Source organism: Homo sapiens, chromosome X (genome assembly GCF_000001405.40).
Source record: "Homo sapiens chromosome X, GRCh38.p14 Primary Assembly".
In the NCBI taxonomy this organism is placed as follows: domain Eukaryota; kingdom Metazoa; phylum Chordata; class Mammalia; order Primates; family Hominidae; genus Homo; species Homo sapiens.
The window spans coordinates 38,110,541-38,129,698 of record NC_000023.11 but is presented as its reverse complement, the minus strand read 5'-3'; the positions used below and the strand labels follow the sequence as shown (position 1 = coordinate 38,129,698).

Genomic DNA, 19,158 nt, shown 5'->3' with positions numbered 1-19,158 from the left:
AGAAAAGAACTGAGCACTGAATAATCCAATTTTTAATAGTTTTGTAGAGAATGAGTAAAGACAAAGATGAAGCAGTGACTTGTGAAGCAGAAAATCAGGGTCATGTGATATTATACAAGGCCTTTATTGATGGGCTTTTGGATTGTTTCCAATCTCTTTCAATAAATATCCTTGTATGTACTCATTTCTCATATATGCACTTACCTCTGTAAGAAAAATACTCAGAAGTGGAATGGTTGGGTAAGATTTATACCTCATTTTGAATTTCAAAGTGTTTATTCTTTGAAGGAAAAGTTTGCTTAGAAAAGCCATTAAATATAGATAGCTTGGTTAACCATATTTAATGTGGTAGTGGGTTGGACTGGTTAAATAAATTTGATACATCCCTATAATTTAATATCTTGTAGCCATAAAGAAGAATGAGACAGTCAATATTTTCTGATATGGAAGAGGAGAGAGGAAGACTTAACTTTTCACAATTTTGAACTATTTGAATTCTGTGCTATTCACATGCATTACCTATATTTAAAAATACTATTTGTAGTTCTAGACCATACTTTTGCCTTTTATTTCCAAGAGCAACACCAATAGGTTTCTGATGGATTTTTGCATACTTAAGTTTTGCATTATGGGAATACCTAGTTAGATGTTGGATTTTATGAAACCATGATACAGAGAGTTGCTCTACGTGTGGCAAAGATCTGAACACATAAAGTTCATGCTCTTCTTGAGTTCAAGTTATAAATTTTAAAATTTATTATTTTTTCATATTTATTATTAATGAATAAATCCACTTCGTTGTGTCTATACCAGAGATGTTTCCAGACTTCACCATCACCACCCTCTTACCTCCCCTAAAAATGTAACTGAAGACAGAATGAGTCACATCAAGTCTGAAGACATTTTATTTTTCCTATGTGGGAAGCAATGATGATCTTACACTTTTTGTTTTCTGTTTTTAAGAAGGGCAGCACAAGGATATGTGCAGATTTTCTTTTAAGTACCTTGCTAAGCGACACTAGACTAATAACCATTTTCTAGAATTAGGTGACCTACTTCTGAATAAAATTGAAACTGGATTGCGTATTCCCTTACTAATAATAATACTAAATATATTCTTAAATCAGTTTTCAAAATTCAAGATGAAATCTAGAAATATGGAACAACTAGCAGGAATAAGCCCGAAGATGATTCTAGCTCCGTTACTACTAAAACCTAGTTTCTAAACTTTCGAGGATTTTATATGAACTCGCATGAAAAAATGAGCTCAGAGGCTAGAATATGACTCCAGAACATACCTTGGTCGGGTATGTTCATGCTCAAGTAATCAGACTCTGCTCCAAATTTCTTGACATAAGCCCTTTTATCTACCTAATAAGCATAGCATTATGCCAAGGACTATATTGAAAAAAGAACACTGGCCTAAGATTGATAGTCTGGATTTAAGTCCAGATTTAGTCACAGCCTCTATATGGCCTTGGGCAAGTTATCTCAGCTCTCTGAAATTCACATTTGGAATCTGCAAAATGAGCAACTGGGCCTGAGGTTCCTTCTAGCTTTAACTTTCTTTGCATCTAAGTTTCGTAGCTCAAGCATCTGGAATTCCAGGTGAGAGAAGGTATGGTAGATTGAACTGTTGGCCCCAATTCTTCATGCCTTCCTGCATCCTCACTCTTGTCATGGCTTCACTGTGGGCAGTGCATATTTCCCTGCCTCTTCATCTTGGCCCTCTGACTTCCTTTGACCAATGAGATATCAGTAGACATGACACAACCAGGGGCTGAAAATGTACCCGAGCAGTGGGGCTCATCTTATTGCACTTCTGCCATCAAGATGCTCTGGCTATCCCTTTGGCTTAAAGAGGATGAGGCATAAGAAGCCCTAGAACCTCAGGCCTATAGCAGGAAGCAGAGGTGCCATAGCCAATCTTCATAACTGTGAGAAAAAGGATGGTCATTTTAAGCCACTGACATTTGGTGTGTTTTTTCATTCAGCATTATTGTGACAATAGTTAACCACTGCAAAAGGAGATAAGAAAAACTCAGTGAAGGAGAAAACAAGGGGGAAGAGAGCAGATGGAGTCTTTGATTCTCTCCCATAACAGGGCAGAAGAGGAACAGAAGTAAAATAGCAGGTAGAGTACCTCCTTTTTCATTAAACTAGTCTCGTCAGTGAACACAATGTGAAAAGGTATATCAATTGACCATTATATCTCATTTCCTTTTAGTTAATGGCTTAGAACATTTTATAAAATAAATGTTTAAAACAGAGCTCTCTTAGGTCATCAGTAGGGTGACCCTACATCCCAATTTTCCCAGGTCAATTCTAATCAACATCAATCGTTCTGATGTAGTTATTTAGCTCTCTTTGTTCTAAAAAGTAAACTGATTTAGATGATAAATTCTATAGTAATCATAGAAAGCCCTGTCAATCCATCTTGAAATACTACTTGGTTAATCCACAAGTTTGCTGCAATAACAGGACAATCCCCTTGCTCAAGCAACCATCTCCACCATGCCTTCTTGAGATCATGTGGATTCCTAGGGTGAGTAAAAGTTGGCCAGTATCCTTTCTTCTGACTTTTCAAGTGATCTACCTTCTCAGTGGTCCTCTTTCTCTTCAAAGGATTTGAGGAAATCTAAAGTAACTTATAATTAGCAAATGGAGGCTTGTGCCATTTCTTTTATGGCATAAACCCTATAAGCCTTTGCACAATTTGCTTGTTGACAGGACAAGTAGTACACTTTCTATCATCCAATCAAGAAGGCCTTGATTGGATGGAAATATATGTTTTTTAGGCACTCAGCAAGACCCTAAATGTTCATACTACTGACATCTCTCCCCTCATGTCCCAACACTGTCAGGTGAGAAATGGCAGGGAAGCAGAATCCCAGGTCTCAGTTTGCTAATGGTAGGAAAAGACAGCCAGATAGGTCCTGGTGGCCTCATTCTTGGAGAACTGGTCCCTTTAGAGCCTACATTTTCCCATGCTGGAACGAAGCATGAGTACACCCTCAAAGGGAGTTCCAGGGTTGTTGGCCATCTTCTGCCAAAGGCGCTGCTCTTCCCCCTGAGAGTCCATCCAATCCACGTTCTTCCCATGGCTCACACCTGAAGAGGCGAAACGGGAAAATTTTATGTCACACATGAAATGCTTTGCTCTCCTGCAAGGTATCTATCAACTTCTGAGCAGGCCTTTTCACCAGAGTACCTTTTACTGGCTTGTTCTCACTTAGTATATATAGTGAGTGGTGTTAGAATTGAATCAATCAATCATTTCAGCCTGCACTATTCTCTAATGCCTAGGCCATATGAGGCAAATCGGGGTGGCCCTGGTGACTCACTTCCTCCCTACTTTAGCAGAGAGCTGGTTCATCTGGACTGTGCTAACATGACAGAAGAATGGGATGAATTTGGCTCTCTTTTTCTAACAAGGGCACTTTTCTGACCTGGGGAGTTTTCCTTTTAGTGGTATAGATATTTTTGGCTCCCCTTAATCTATAAATAAGTAATTATCATAGTGATAGGACCTTCCTCAACAGAAATGTTTACCATGGTGTATGCTGATGGTCTCATCTATGTCTGGCTTAGGCTATGGGATAATGAGAGTTAGGGGAATGCACGTGCTCTACTACTGTAATCCCTCTTCCAATTCACCCTGTTACAGTTGCGTCTTGTGGCACCAGTGGTGGGTTTCCTTGATCTGTTTTTAACAATACTGGTGTTATTTTTATGAAAAAATGATTTCCTTTCAATTCAACCAGTATGAATAATAGCTGCAAGTGCTGGACAGAACTGAGAAGATGATGAAGTAATGTTGGTCTTGAAAGTCGCTCTCCTCCCATCAGAAGCCTATGCTGTCTTGGTAATCATCCCCTGAGCAAAATATGAAGCAAGGCCCAAGAAAGTACTTACAATTCACTTAGACTAAGGTGTAAATGCTAGTCTATGAAAGGATTGAATATAAATATGATATCTTCCAATCTTCTAGCCTAAGGATACAAAGTTACTGTAGTTATATTTGTATTTTAACAATGAATAGATCCTTAGCTAAAGGAATGAAGTATTTGTGGTAATTTCAGGATTTAGCTGAAACTATATATATACATCCACTGCACATCACATCTGCAAGAATAGCGCCCCCACCTGGGCCTAGTCACAGACCATCCCTGTGGGTCCCCAAATCCCTCACCACTTCCAGAATTCAAACGAACTCCTCCCAGAAAGATGTTGCTGGAAAAGGCCTCCTTGTCCCAGATAGTAAGTTCTAGGCAAACATTCTTTATATCCTGGGGATGGATGCCACTGAACATGAATGTATGATTCCACTGAGGGTTAACACTCTTTTTTATTACCAGAGTTTTGTGCTTGGTGGCTTTGCTATCATCAGGGAGCAGGTAGCTGCATGAGAAAAAACAATCAAATCATCAATAAGACAGCAGACAGAAAATGTCAGCGTGTACACAAGTGTGATGTGTCTATTTGATTTTCCTTCCCAGGCTTCTATATGCTTAAATCTGGATTTATATAGTGAACTGACTTATTATTTCTTCCCAGTGGGACATTAGTAAAATGCCCTCACTCTCCTTTCTAATCTTATTTAGGTCCTTCCTTCCATCTTGAAAAGAAAATACCTCCTGTAATAGACACTATTGAATGCCTTGCTTCAAATCTTTTTGGCCTCCTTGGAGCTGACTTGCAGCCAGGATGGGAAGTTCCTGATATACTTTCAGCTTCCCACCTCAAGTGCTTGTGTCTCTTGATACAAGGAATAAATTCCTCTAATTAAGGAATTTATCTGATATTGTGTTAGCTGGCTCAGCTTATGTGTAGGAAACTCTGGGATTACTTGGAATTTAATACCCCTGGGGCAACTTTTAACTGATGAGTTTGAGAAATTGGTGGATAATTTCCCCATCTTCCCTGTCCCTCAAAGTGACAATCCTAAGGTATATTCCACAGAGTTCCTCACTGCTTCCCTAGTGGAATCATGCTCCAGTTGCCCACAGTGGTAACCTGCCCATTAACATATGTTTTAATCAACTTCTCTTTCTTCCTTGTTTCATTTTCTCCACTTCCTCACTGGTGTTTCCTGAAATTTGTCTTCAAATAAAACGCCTGTATCCTAGGTTTTCTCGACTATGGTCAAAACACTGTATGAGGCTCTAGGTATGTGATAAAAATGGCTGTTTTCCCCCTTCAGGGAGCATACTTTAGAAAAGAAGACATATGTACATATGGAATTAGTACATGGAACAAAAACGAAAAGTGCTACAAGCAAATGACTTTACAATAAAGAAGATACATTAAGTCACTTAAGATTTAATTTCATGTACCAAGCAAAGACTGCTTATTATCTCCTAATATCCATTCTCTCCTTATATTCCTCTAAAAAACTGTGTTTTTATTTGAGCACAGTGTTGCCCAGAATAAAGACTACATTTCCCAACCTCCCTTGCAGCTGGAATAGCCATGTGACTGAGTTCTGGCCAATGGGATATAAGAAGTAGTGCTGATAAAACTACTTCTTACATCTGGAAAGTGTCCTGTCAGCTGGAATTTGTGTGGGATAGCTGAAACAGGAGCAGCTATCCTAACCCATTAGGTGGATACCATAACGAGATGGAAAAATCCTGGGTCCCTGATAATCATGATGCTTCCATACCTGCACTGGGGACCTTACCTTCAGTCTTTGTTTACATGTAAGAGAGAAAAAAAACTTGTCTTGTTTAAGCCACTGTTCTTTTGGCTCACAGACCGACCTAATGTTAATGGATATATTTTATATTATTAAACTTTACAGAGGGTCTATTCTTGCTCCCTCACTGTCTTTTAAAAAAATCTCATGTCTTTTTAGAATCAGCCTAATATTTAAGTATTATTATAGACAGAATTTACCGGAAAGTTATTGGCTTTTGTTTTTCTTTCTAGAACAAAAATACTGTCTTTTATTATTTCTGCTTTATACATTTTCCACAAGATAAAGTGAATACTGCTCCAGAAGATGTCAAGTACCGTTGCAAGGTCACAATGTGGCCACGGGTTGGGAGTCATCTCCTCATTCCAGCAGCAGAAGCTTAAACTGGATGGTAGGGCTAATGACACAAATTGTAACTGCAGTATCCAAAGAAAGCATTTCTTCTATGCTTAAATCTACTGCAAGGAAGAGTGAAGGGAAGATGTGCCAGGATTCAGGCATACACACTCACCAATGGGGAGGCCCCAGAACTGCTTCTCCCCACTACTAGCTTTACCAAAGTTAGAACATGTGGCCAGGCACGGTGGCTCATGCCTGTAATCCCAGCACTTTGGGAGGCCGAGGCAGGCAGATCACTTGAGGTCAGGAGTTCAAGACCAGCCTGGCCAATGTGGTGAAACCCTGTCTCTACTAAAAATAAAAATAAAAATAAAAATACCTGTAATCCCAGCTACTCAGGAGACTGAGATATGAGAATCACTTGAACCTGGGAAGCGGAGGTTGCAGTGAGCCGAGATGGCACCACTGCACTCCAGCCTGGGCAACAGAGTGAAACTCTGTCTCAAAACAAAAACAAAAACAAACAACAACAACAAATAACATGTGAGAGTGAGCTCAACCCATTTCCTTGTAGGAAAAAATACTCTTTTCCAATACAGCATGTGAAGAGGAACAATATTGCCATCCGACTCAAAGAATGAACCTCATGGTCTGGCATCATGGGAATTTGTTTTACCTTATGTGCTTTACGGAGTTCCATGAGGGCAGGGATAATATGTTATTTATTTTTGAAAGCATAGCACCTGGTGCTTGGCACATGTGCATTTTGTGTTTGTTTGAATGACTGAAAAATAACCTTGCAGTCTTAGTTTCTCAATTTCCAAGAGAAAAATATCCAGTAGTCAGGAATCAAAAGGGATTTGATGTTTGAGTTGCCTAGAGTTAGGCAAAAGTATCCATTTTAAGGCTGCATTCCCTCAGGAAGCTGCCCTTTGCTCCACAACTTGGGCACAAATGCCTAGCAGGTGGTCTTGGAGCCTCTCCAAAGCACTCGACAGTGAATAAGTCCAGCAAGGATGCTCTGACATCTCTACTTTTTACAATTTCCCCCAAGAGAGAAAAATATCAAGGATCTGATATTTTGGTGATTGTTGCATATTGCCAGGACAAAATGATAATAAAGAACAATATAAATACATTATACATAGGAAATCATACTTTTGTCCACTTTCGATAAATGAATCTTACAGAAAAAAGTTGACTGTCTTGAGAGTAAGAGTGATGGGAATTCCTGAAATATGTTGGAAACAGAGTGACAGCTAGAATCAGCAGTTCCCTCAACACTTGTGTTATTTTAGATGTAAGAGCCAGCATGTAAGGGTAGTTCTCACCCATACACTTCTAGTAAACAGAACACGGAAGGCTCACAGCCACCAGTGGCTTGTGGATCACAGATCCTTTCATCTCCTATTAAGTATCATCCAAAAAGAGCTAAAACAAAGTTACCCCTTCACAAAGCTATCAGAAGTGCCTCCTGACTTCACTGCTGTCAAATTCTTTGCCTCTTTGATGAACACTTCTAGTATTCCTCCAGAGATTACAGGTGACTCCTTCTTCTTTCCCTTTTTAAAAGTCTTATTTCCTGTGTCAGCCACCAAAATGAGGGAATGGTGGAGAAAGAGAAAAAAAAATAGATAAATCATGAGTTCCATTTCAAAATTTACAAAGATCATCTACAAACATATATTTCATTTGCTGACTAATTTGGGCCTTTACATTATTGTATATTTTTATTCATTTAAACATTTTTGCCCCCATTGGATTCCTTCCAGATAGGTCTTTCATTTGTATTTGTTGAAACAAATGAAGAAATAAATTTAAAACTTTAAACACTCCCTTACAAAGCATATCTTTTCACAGGGTATAAAGGCATGGAATGCCTAAGAGTTTCCCGGAGCACCATTCCTGCTCTTAGTGAGAAATAACTATGATGAAGACAATATACATGCACCAAAACTCAAAAAGAGAAAATTCAATAACTCCCTTTGATATTTTAGTCTTACAAATAGTCAGTTTTAGTCAGAGCCAGCTCTAGAGGCTACAGCCCAAACACAGTTACGTTTTAGGGTGAGAGAAATCTCTTTTCCACCTCACTTTTCTTTTCTTATGAAATACATTCAACATGAATGATATAAACCAGTATCACAACCAGCACCTTTATTTAGTATTGTTTTAAGCACCTTACATATATGAACCTGTTTATTCTTCACAACAGCCCTTTGAAGTGAGGAAATTGAGGTCAGGTGATAGTGAGTTACTTGCACAGGGTCACACTGAAAAGAGTAATAGTGAATGGGAGGACAGAGGAGGCTGCCTGCAAGAATTGATGGTAAAAGAAGGGCAAGATAGTTTGGATGTTATCCTCACCCAAATCCCATGTTGAAATGTAATCCCCACTATTGGAGGTGGGGCCTGGTGCGAGGTGATTGGATCATGGGGTGGATTTCTCATGAGTGGTTTTGCACCGTCCCCTTGGTGCTGTCCTCATGATAGTGAGTGAATTCCTGTGAGAGCTGGTTGTTTAAAAGTATGTGGCACCTTCTCTCTTTCTCTTGTTCCTGCTCCTGTCATGTGAGACACCTGCTCCACCTTCACCTTCTGCCATAATTGTAAGCTTCCTGAGGCCTCCTCAGACACAGATGCCTGTTTTATGCTTCCTACATAGCCTGCAGAACCATGAGCAAATTAAACCTCTTTTCTTTATACATTACCTAGTCTTGGTATTTCTTATAGCAATGCAAAAACAGCTTAATACAAAGGGGAAGAGAGATTTATAAATTGATTCCATCTGATTTTTTCCTTTAAATCCTGTGTTCTAGATCAACTTCTTCCTCAAGACTCCCTGAATAGCTGTGAATGTCATAAATCCATGGAGCAGTTTCCTATACTTGCCTCCAGCAGCCTGCCTTCCCCCAACCCTGGGGGAAGATCCTATATCTTTGGGACATAAAACAAAACTGACCACCAAGGCTGGTTTCTAAGTATGAATCTTACAAGGATTCCTTGTAAGAGTCCTGCATTCTTCTATATATACGGTATACACATCTCAACTCTCCCCAAAAGACAGTGACACCAAACCCTTTATGTTTTGTTTGTGTAATATGAAAGAAATATAATGCAACCAATCCCTGAGTCCCACTACCACACTTCTAGAAACAGAATGTCATTGATCAAAGTCATTGATTTTTACTCTACCTTGGAGTTGTTCTGGTGGAAGCATCAGGTTCTCTTCTGGGGGAATGTAACGTAAAACAACTGTCAGCTCTCCTTTGTATTGAAGGCCAATATCAGGAGCAAACTCCACCTGGCCAAGGAGAAACAAGTAAGTTGAAAGAGTATGGATGATTGGCTTAGTATTGTAGTCCACATTTGAATGTGCAATATTTACTTAGTGGCATAAATGTGACAATCCATTCTCATTTCAACTCTGTTCGCTCTCACTGGTTTAAGAGATGACTGAGGTAAGAGAAAACAAAGGCTGGAAAACTCTATGAAGGCATTTGCATATAACTTTTAACATTTAAGTAAAAGAAATTTGAAAGAAGACATATAACTTATATTTGGCCAGTCAATAGATATTGAGCACCTGTGATGCATTGATGACTGGACCTATCACTGAGTTTACATATATAGTTTGGGATATGAAGAAGCAGGAATAAAAATGCCACTGAAAATACCTCCAGAAATTACTTCTCCCTGTCATCTTTGATGTCTTTTAAGTCTTTCCCAAGTGATCAAGAATGGAAAAGTAGGCAATAATGCTTGATTCACATGGGGCTGCCAGCCATCAACTGTTAAAAGCAATGTTGGTAATTCATATAATCAAAATTCAACATGGAGAAAGTGGTTCACTCAAACATTGTTGGTGGGAATGTAGAATGGTGGAGTCACTCTGGAAAACAGTTTGTAAGACTGTTTGTAAGACTAAACATGCAACTACCATCCAACCAGAAATTGCACTCTTGGTCATTTATCCCAGAGAAATGAAAACATTATATCCACACAAAACTTGTATAGGAATATTTGTATCAGCTTTATTTGTAATAGTAAAAACTGGAAACCACATGGATTTCCTTCAACAGGTGAATGGTTAAACAAACTGTGGTACATTCATACGATGGAATACTATCCATTAATAAAAATGGAATAGACTATTGATAAATGCAACAAGTTGAATCTCTAGAGAATTATACTGAGTGAAAAAAGCCAGTCTTAAAATGACATATACTTTATGATTTCATTTATGTAACATTCTTGAAATGACAAAATTATAGAGATGGAGAACAGATTAGTGGTTGCTAGAAGTTAGGGATGTGAGTAGTGGGAGGGAGTTAGATGTGGTTATAAAAGGTCAACCTGAGGGACATGTGGTATTAGAACTGTTCTGTACCTTGACTGTGGTAGTAGATACACAAACCTATAAAGGTGATAAAATTGCATAGGATGAAATATACACACACATGTGCACACACACACACACAAATGAGTACCAAACTGGGAATTCTGAATAAAATTGGTGAATCATATCAATGGCAATATCTTGGTTGTGGCTGGGTGTAGTGGCTCATGCCTGTAATCCCAGCATTTTGGGAGGCCTAGGTGGGAGGATTGCTTGAGCCCAGGAGTTTGAGACCAGCCTGGGCAACACAGTGAGACCCTATCTCTCAACATATATATGTATATGCGTACATATATATATATATATATATGTATATGCGTACATATATATATATATATATATTAGCTGGGCATGGTGGCATGCACCTGTAGTCCCAGCTACTTGGGAGGCTGAGGTGGGAGGATAGCTTGAGCCCAGAAATTTGAGATTATAATGAGCTATGATTGTGCCACAGTACTCCAGCCTGGATGACAGAGTGAGGCCCTGCCTCTAAAAAAATAAGCAAAACCTGGTTTGATATTATAGTACATCTTTGCTATAGGTTACCATTGGGGAAAATCAAGTATTGGGTACATAGGATCTCTTCATATTATTTCTTGTAACTGCATGTAGATTTATAATCATCTCAAAATATAAAGTTTAAATTAAAGAAAGTCAATGTGCACGTGCACCCAGAACCTCTATTCTATAGGTCTCCCACTTGCCATTGAGTCAACTGAACTTTGAGTTCTTTCACAGGTAGAGCAGGAAAGGCAGTATACTTTGTCAGGCTTTTCCTTTAGGGATCTGACTTCTGAGTCAAAAGCAGAGAACTGCTCTCTCAGAGAGGGCAGAATGAGAGTCCCGAAACCTAGCTCATTCATAGCCAAGCCAGAGACTGTTCAAGACTTGGCATAAATAAGCAAATAAACAGTAAAAAAAAATTAAAAATACTGAGACTGTTACAAAGAAAAGGAATCCTTGCCTGACTTTCCCTTTTCTTTCCTGCTGGTGGTAGTAAAACTTACTAGTAAGGGTGGGAAAAATGCTTGAAATATTTTATTCAACCTTCTTACCCGGGGCAAAAATGAGATTATATGGTAAAATAGACTATCCATCTAATATTTAATCTGATTATTTTAGATCAGGTTCCTTGTAACTGGACTCTTCTTTTTGTTTTGACAATCTCAGTAAATTTTAGTTTAGGTGACTATCATAAGTAGAAAATTATAATGGATGTTATGACAGATTAAAGATGGTTACCACTTTTTTGGTACCGTCATCAATGAGAGATGGGGTATTTGTGACCTCTCTTTGGGTCTGTGTGGGCTCTGTGATTGCTTTGACTAGTATTATAGAATATGGCAGAAGTGACAATGTGCCAGTTTTGGGGTCCAGGTCTTAAGATTGACAGCTTCTACTTTTCTTTCTTGGAATGGATATTTCCGAATGCTTCCTCTGGGAACTCGTACTAAGAGAGGCTAAAGCCACAGAGAGAAGCCGCATGTAGGTGCTCCAGCTGGCAGGCCTAGCTGAGTTTCTAGCCAGCAGTCAACATCATGTGTAAGACATGGAAGTGAGCCAACTCGAACAATCAATGCAGTTGAGCTTTCAGATGACATCAGCCTCAGTCAACCATCTGGCTGCAGTGGCGCCAGAAACCCTAAGTGAGAACTACCTAGATGAGTCTAGTCGACCCACAGAATCATGAGAGAGAATAAATTCTTGCTGTAAGCCCCGAAGGTTTAAGGTAGTTTGGCATACAGCAATAGTTAACCAGAGCAGGCTGTGTTTGCTTTTTGAGTGAGATCTTCGGGTATGAAAATACGCCAGTAGGAAAAAGTTATATGTGTAGGAATCACATACTAATATATAGTGTGCTACCAGAGATCAAAAACATGCATTATTGGGACTTACCAATGTTCCATTGGTTTTTAGCTTAAAATATACTGTAGACCCCGTATAAATATAGACTTCAAGTCTTATGAAAGGAAAACACAATAATGATGAAGCTTGTAGCATTATAATCACATATAAAAAATTAAAGCAGGGGAGTCATATTGCAGCCTGCACATGTCTAATGTCTTAGGGTATTTTTGATACTTATATTTTGCCAGGAAATTCCTAGGCAACACCCTCTCCTGGCATACCACCATTGTCATTATCCAACCCACTATTACTCAGAAAAAGTTAGCAGAATCCAATCATATTCAATTCAACTCTACCAACACATATGGAATGCTTACATTTTTATAAGGCATTTTGCTAAGTGCTGTGGGGACACAAAAGACAGACCCTGCTTTCAATGAGTTTTCAGTCTATCTAGTAGACATATTTGCAGTAGCAGGATCTATTAATTCACACTTAGTTAACTGCTGACTCATCAGTTTAATTAGTGTTCTTCATCCCTCGTGAATAGCAGAATCCTTTCTGCAAAGAACATGCATCTGCTCCCATCAGTTCAATTGTATGCACACTGAGAGTCAGCTGCATTAGTTAGTCCCCTAAGCTCTTTAGGCCAGGCATATTTGTGATTTTAATTATATAGTTTAAAGTCACATAAATTGATGAGTGCAAAAAGACAGCTGCTACTATAACAATTCAGTTGAATAGAAGAACTAAAGATTTGAAAACAAAGTTGCTATTGGATTATATGTGGGCTTGAATCTATCAAAGGTTAGAAAAAATCATACATTTTTTAGAAGAATTTGCATTTTGTTTACTTTGAAAGTATTCTTATGTTCTTGTTTCATTTGAGAAAAGCTCAAATTAGAATCTTCTGATGATGATGCATTAGGAGGAGAATTTATGCAAGGAATATATGGCAGAATTTTACTTACTGAACGAAATTCAAACAAAATTAATTGCCTCTATATCAGAAGACTTGCAAATGAACGTACATTTATTTGGTTTAAGTTAAAAATAAATGTTTAAGAAATGCATTGGGAAACTATAGTAATCAAAACAGCATGGTACTGGCATAAGAACAGATACATAACACCAATGGAACATAATAGAGAGTCCAGAAATAAATTTATGGTCAATTGATTTTCAACAAAAGTGCCAAAAATACACAATGGGGAAAGGACAGTCTCTTTAATAAACAGTATTGGGACAACTGAATATCCACATGCAGAAGAATGAAATTGGACCCTTGTCTCACACCATATACAAAAATCAACTCAAAGTGGATTAAAGACTTAAGCATGAGACCTGAAACTGTAAAACGACTAGGAAAAACATAGGGGAAAAGCTCCACAACATAGGTCTGGGAAATTTTTTTTTGAATATGACCCTAAAAGCACAGGAAACAAAAGCAAAAATAGGCAAATAGGACTGCCTCAAACTGAACTTCTGCAGAGCAAAGAAAACAATCGACAGAGTGAAGAGACAATCTGCAGAATGAGAGAAAATAGTTGCAAATCATACATCTGATATAGTTTAAGTTAAATCATTTAATATCGAAGATACATGAGGAACTCAAGCAATTCAATAGTAAGAAAACAAATAATCCAATTAAATAATGGGGAAAGGATCTTAACAGACATCTCTCAAAAGAAGACATACAAATGGCCAAAAGTGTGTGACAAAATGCTCAACATCGCTAATCACCAGGGAAATGCAAATTAAAATTGCAATGAGCTATTACCTCATACCTGTTAGAATGGCTAATATCAAAAAGACTAAATATAGTAAGTGTTATAGAACTACCATATTTATGACCTAGCAATCCCACTACAAGATATATAGCCAAAGGAATTGAAATAAGTATCTTTTTTTTTTTTTTTTTTTTTTTTTTTGAGACGGAGTCTCGCTCTGTCGCCCAGGCTGGAGTGCAGTGGCGCGATCTCGGCTCACTGCAAGCTCCGCCTCCCGGGTTCACGCCATTCTCCTGCCTCAGCCTCCCGAGTAGCTGGGACTACAGGCGCCCGCTACCACGCCCGGCTAATTTTTTGTATTTTTAGTAGAGACGGGGTTTCACTGTGTTACCCAGGATGGTCTCGATCTCCTGACCTCGTGATCCGCCCGCCTCGGCCTCCCAAAGTGCTGGGATTACAGGCGTGAGCCACCGCGCCCGGCCTGAAATAAGTATCTTAAAGAGATCTCTACACTCCCATGCTCATTGCAGCGTGATTCACAATAGCCAACATATAGAAACAACCTAATTGTCCATCAATGGATGAAGTGATAAAGAAAATATGGTATATATACACAATGGAATACTATTCAGCCTTAAAAAATAAAATCTTGTCATTTGCATTTGCAACAACATGGATAAATCTGGAGGATATTATGTTAATTAAAATAAGCCAGGCACAGAAAGATGAACACTGCATGACCTCACTTATATCTAAAATAGATATAAATCTAAAATAGTGGAATCTAAAATAGTTGAATTAATAGAAGCAGAGAGTAGAGTGGTGGTTATCAGGGGCTGGGGGTGGGGAGAACTGGGTAGATGCTGGCCTAACAAAATAAAATGTCAGCTAGATAAGAGGAATAAATTTGAGGAATCTATTTTATAACATGGTGACCATAGTTATTAATAATAACAATGTTTTGTATTCTTGAAAATTGCTGAGAGTAAATTTTATGTGTTCTGACCACAAAAAAGTATGTTATGTGAAGTAATATATATGTTAACTAGATTGATGTAGCCATTCCATAATATATACATATTTAGAAACCATATTTTACATGATAAATATATACAATTTTTATGTGTCAATTCAAAATAATTAAAAATAAAAGAAATATATTGTGTGTGTTTGTATGTGGGTGATTTCTGTGACTTTGTCTATTAACTGACCTACTACTGGTTGTAATTTCTGGGGCAAGAGGGTTTCTACTATACAGAAAGTTCAATGTAAGATAAATGGTGACAGTTATTCCAACACAAGTAAAAAGAAACTACTATGGGAAGAGAAAGATTAATCCAGATTGGGATAAAGAGGTGGCTCTTACCTGGTCCTTAAAGGATGGGAGACATGATGACAGATGAAGATGGATTGGGAAGGTTAGTCCAGGTTGAGAAAGCAGTATGAGTAAAATATGATGGGGGTTGTGTAGAATATGTTTAGGGACTGACAGGAAGTCAAATGTGATCAGGGGAGTGTGTACAGGGAGGTAGTAGCAAGGAGGATGAAAATAAGGTGTCAACTCAGGGTTTCCCAGAAGATGCTAAGGCACTTATTTAAGTTATAGTATTTTATTAGGAAGGGTACTGGGGAAGGGGGACCAAAAGTGAAGGAGGCTTAAGGATGTGATTTCAGGCAAAGTTCCATGGAGAGTAACTGTTGTTAAGTCCCATAGGGGTACTCTGGAGATGTGACAGATCACACTTCAGAGCTGTTCCAATCAGAGGCAAGAACGTGGGAGTATTGACGTTCCTTAATCCACCAGTCATTGATCAAGGCTCTGCTCACCCCCAGGAGACTTAAATACCCAGGCTATGTTGGCTTTTCTGGCCTGCAAACCAAGCCCTCTCTAGCAGCCCGAAGGCTCCCCTCCTACAATGATTGGCAGGGGTTGGCTGGTGGGAGTGAAAGAAGTGGGGAGCCCTGTTTGCAAGAAAACGGGGATGGGTAGAGAACTAACATCTTTGGCTGCTACAGTAGGCTGGGCCATTCAACAGAACACTGAGTGCCAGGGTGAGGGTTAGTATTTATTCAAACCATATCCAAAAGTAGTAGGGAACCACTGAGACTATCTGAGCATGGATGTGAAATAAGCAGATGACACCCACCACCTCCTGCTTTCTGAAAAAAAGAGAGGTCCACTTTCCATCGGAGTGAGAAAGAGACTCCCAGTGCATTTACAGGTGTAACACAGAGTAAGGAATTACAGACAAAAGTCTGCCAAAAAAAGAGAGAGCCTTTAATCTAGGTATAATTCCAAAGGAACATACATTTACTCTCTACCTGAAGGCAGAATAAGAGAACGTTTCCTTGGAAAACCACGTAAGCTTGCTGTTGATTTTCAGATGTCCTTGTTTTTATAATAGTACACTCTGGGAAGGCATGAAAGGCAATTCATACTGATAAAACCTTGTCTAACTACCTGACATGCCTTTCAGAAGGCTTTACAGCTAATAAATAATCCCATGCCATGAAGTAAAATGGAAGTTATACTGTGAAACTACAGTATGTTTGGCATCTTGAGTTCTTTCTCTGCACCAGCCTCCTCACTGGCTTAGCACTGTAGGATCTAACCCATACAAAGATAAATATTGAGGAACCTTCACTAATAGAGTCAATAAGCAATAAGGCACCATGCCGTTCTGGAACTCCTAGTGCAGAAGTATGTCAGTATTTCTAAATTATTAAGGATTATTAATTCTGATCCCCTATTACTAGGGAAATCAGTATGTGTAACTCATGTTTCACCTTCTCGACTGCATAATCTATGAGAAACGTCAAGTCTCCAAGGCTGCTCATACTACATCTGCAGCTGCTGGAGTGACAATTGCATGGAAATGACCGAGGCAGGAAACTGAAACTGAAGTGCCACTTCACATAGCTGGCTGATAATCAACCACACAGAGCCCAGCTCAGCCTGGGGATGAGCCACTAATGAAGCACAAGGCAGCATATAGAGCATGATAGAGCATGCCTTTATGCCTGTCCTCCCCATTTATGGAAGACATGATATCTAAGCACGTTTGTGTCTTCAGCTTTTCTTCTATATAGAACAGAGGAAGCTGGGCAGAGGAAGATGGCAGAGATTAGAGACACTAACTTCTGTTGGGTTCTTCAGAAATAGACTCTAAGGTGAAGATTCTTATGAAGTGATTTATTAAGGAAGTTCTCTCAGAGAGACCAGTAAAGAGGTATGGGAAGCAAGTCTATAGGGACAAGTCTAATCTTGGGCATAATTCCATGGAAGATAGCTTCCACCTGATGTGGTAGTATATGTAACACTTTGGAGTTTTTCCCACCTTCAGTAAGGAAGTGGGCCTTCATACTCCCCCACCTATCAGTTATTGATGAAGGGTTGTCTTGTGGCAGCGGGTATAAAAATTCCCAGGACTTCTGGCTCTCTGCTTACATAGGCAAAAAGCTACAGTAGCCCGAGGGAAGTCTTCTAAAGAGAGTCTCAGGTGGAGGCTGTTGTGGCAAATCTCCTAAAAGACATGGTTAGGAACCTAAGGGTATCTGGCAGAGGACCCATGGTATTCCACAGTGAATGCAATCAGAACTTTTCTACCTTCAGTAGACTCAGAAAGACTTAGAGATGCTTCCCTCTTATGATAGACTGTGAACCACTCATTGACAATGTGGAAGTGATTACTGTGGAAAATGTTGATTTCTAAGCACAAAGGATGCCTAGGAGAGGTCTAGGGGAGCTTAGATATCATTCCAGCAAAGTCCTTCAACTATTTCCAGGAAATTTACTGGAAGGATGCTATTGTTCCCTTCTTCAGAACCAGGGTATATTCTGATTGTCTTAAGCCAGCTAATGCATCTCACCTCCCTGGCCACAGTCAATAGCTTAGAATAGGCAAATGACAGAATTATAATTAGGAGAACCAGGCCCAATGCACTGATTTGGCTGTTGGAGGAGGAGGAACTCTCCTCTTCTGAACAGTGTGGTGCAAAGATGAAAGGCTTGCAGCCACTGTAGTCATTAGAGAGGCATGCTTGGAGCTAGTCAGGGAGGGCAACACTGCATGGAACCTGAAAATGAAGCCAATGAAGATAAGAAGAGAGACCAAGAAATTCCAAGACTTTGATAAGATTTGAACATCTGGATCAAGCTATGCCTAATCACTGCTGGCCAATAATCTCCCTCTATTTTTTGAGCAGTATTAGCTGGAGTTTCTGTCTGTTGCAGTACAAGGACTCCCAAGTAACACGTATACTATCTAGCACTTATTGAGAGCTTACAATGTTCCCAATAAAATGCTGACGGCCATGCGTAGAATGTTTATTCAAGCTTCACCGCAGACCTATAAGCTACATCCCACGATTATATTATAACTGAGGACACTAAGGAATAAAAAGTTAAATAATTTGCCCAAGGTCACATGGGCAGTCATGAAGCCAGGATAGAACCAAGTAAGTTTGATTTGAGTCCACTGTCTTCATCATAATGTGCTTTTGCCTTTCTGTATATAAACAATAATCTTTGGCTGCATAAATGTGACCTTTACTCACCTCCATTTTGGCTTAAAAAGTACTGTAAATGCATAGAGACTCCAGTCACTTAAAGTGAATCCAAGGTACTGTTGGTCTAGATTAGAACATGCTATACAGTATTGGCATTTAATTATCAGCTCTAAGATTTTTTTTCTGAATGTAACTCAAGGCCTGGGTCATGAATCCCAAAAGTAGGAAAGTAAGAAAATCAGATACTTTAGCTACTGGTTATTCCCTCATATAAGCAAAGGCAAGATCACTCCTGTTTGTGGTATAAATTGTGGAGAATGAGAAATAAAGGTAATGTTTGGGGATTGTTCATGCTGTATGAATTTGGTTTCGCCTATGTGAAAATGAAGACTCTCTAATAAGATCATATAATGTGTTGCTTTCAGTTATCCAATGAGACTGTCAAATAATAAAAATTTTTAACAAAAAAATGATTATGTAGCTTTCATTATACAGATGATCTATATTGACAAAGAATTTCCAAAACGGTGGATTTACAACATTTTTATAATATTATTCCAAAATTTGCTGCACTAATTTTTTGCAGATTATCACTTGAAATTTGAAAGTCTTCAAGTTCTTTAGGTCTGTGACAT

The 19,158-nt window shown here is 38.9% G+C and overlaps 1 protein-coding gene across 28 annotated transcripts in view; it reads right to left on the bottom strand.

Moving 5' to 3' along the window:
- SYTL5 (synaptotagmin like 5) overlaps window positions 879–19,158 on the bottom strand; it is a 239,906-nt gene continuing 221,626 nt past the window's right edge. For 26 of the 28 annotated variants that reach the window (XM_017029972.1, XM_047442658.1, XM_011544001.3 and 23 more), the window contains 4 exons: window positions 9,233–9,341; window positions 7,484–7,619; window positions 4,193–4,401; window positions 879–3,111 (listed from right to left, as the gene is read on the bottom strand). In XM_017029972.1, the coding sequence (XP_016885461.1) occupies window positions 2,969–3,111; window positions 4,193–4,401; window positions 7,484–7,619; window positions 9,233–9,341 (597 nt within the window). In that variant the 3' untranslated portion in view covers window positions 879–2,968. The remainder of the gene's footprint in view (window positions 3,112–4,192; window positions 4,402–7,483; window positions 7,620–9,232; window positions 9,342–19,158) is intronic. The other 2 variants (NM_001163335.2, NM_138780.3) reach the window with 1 other exon arrangement.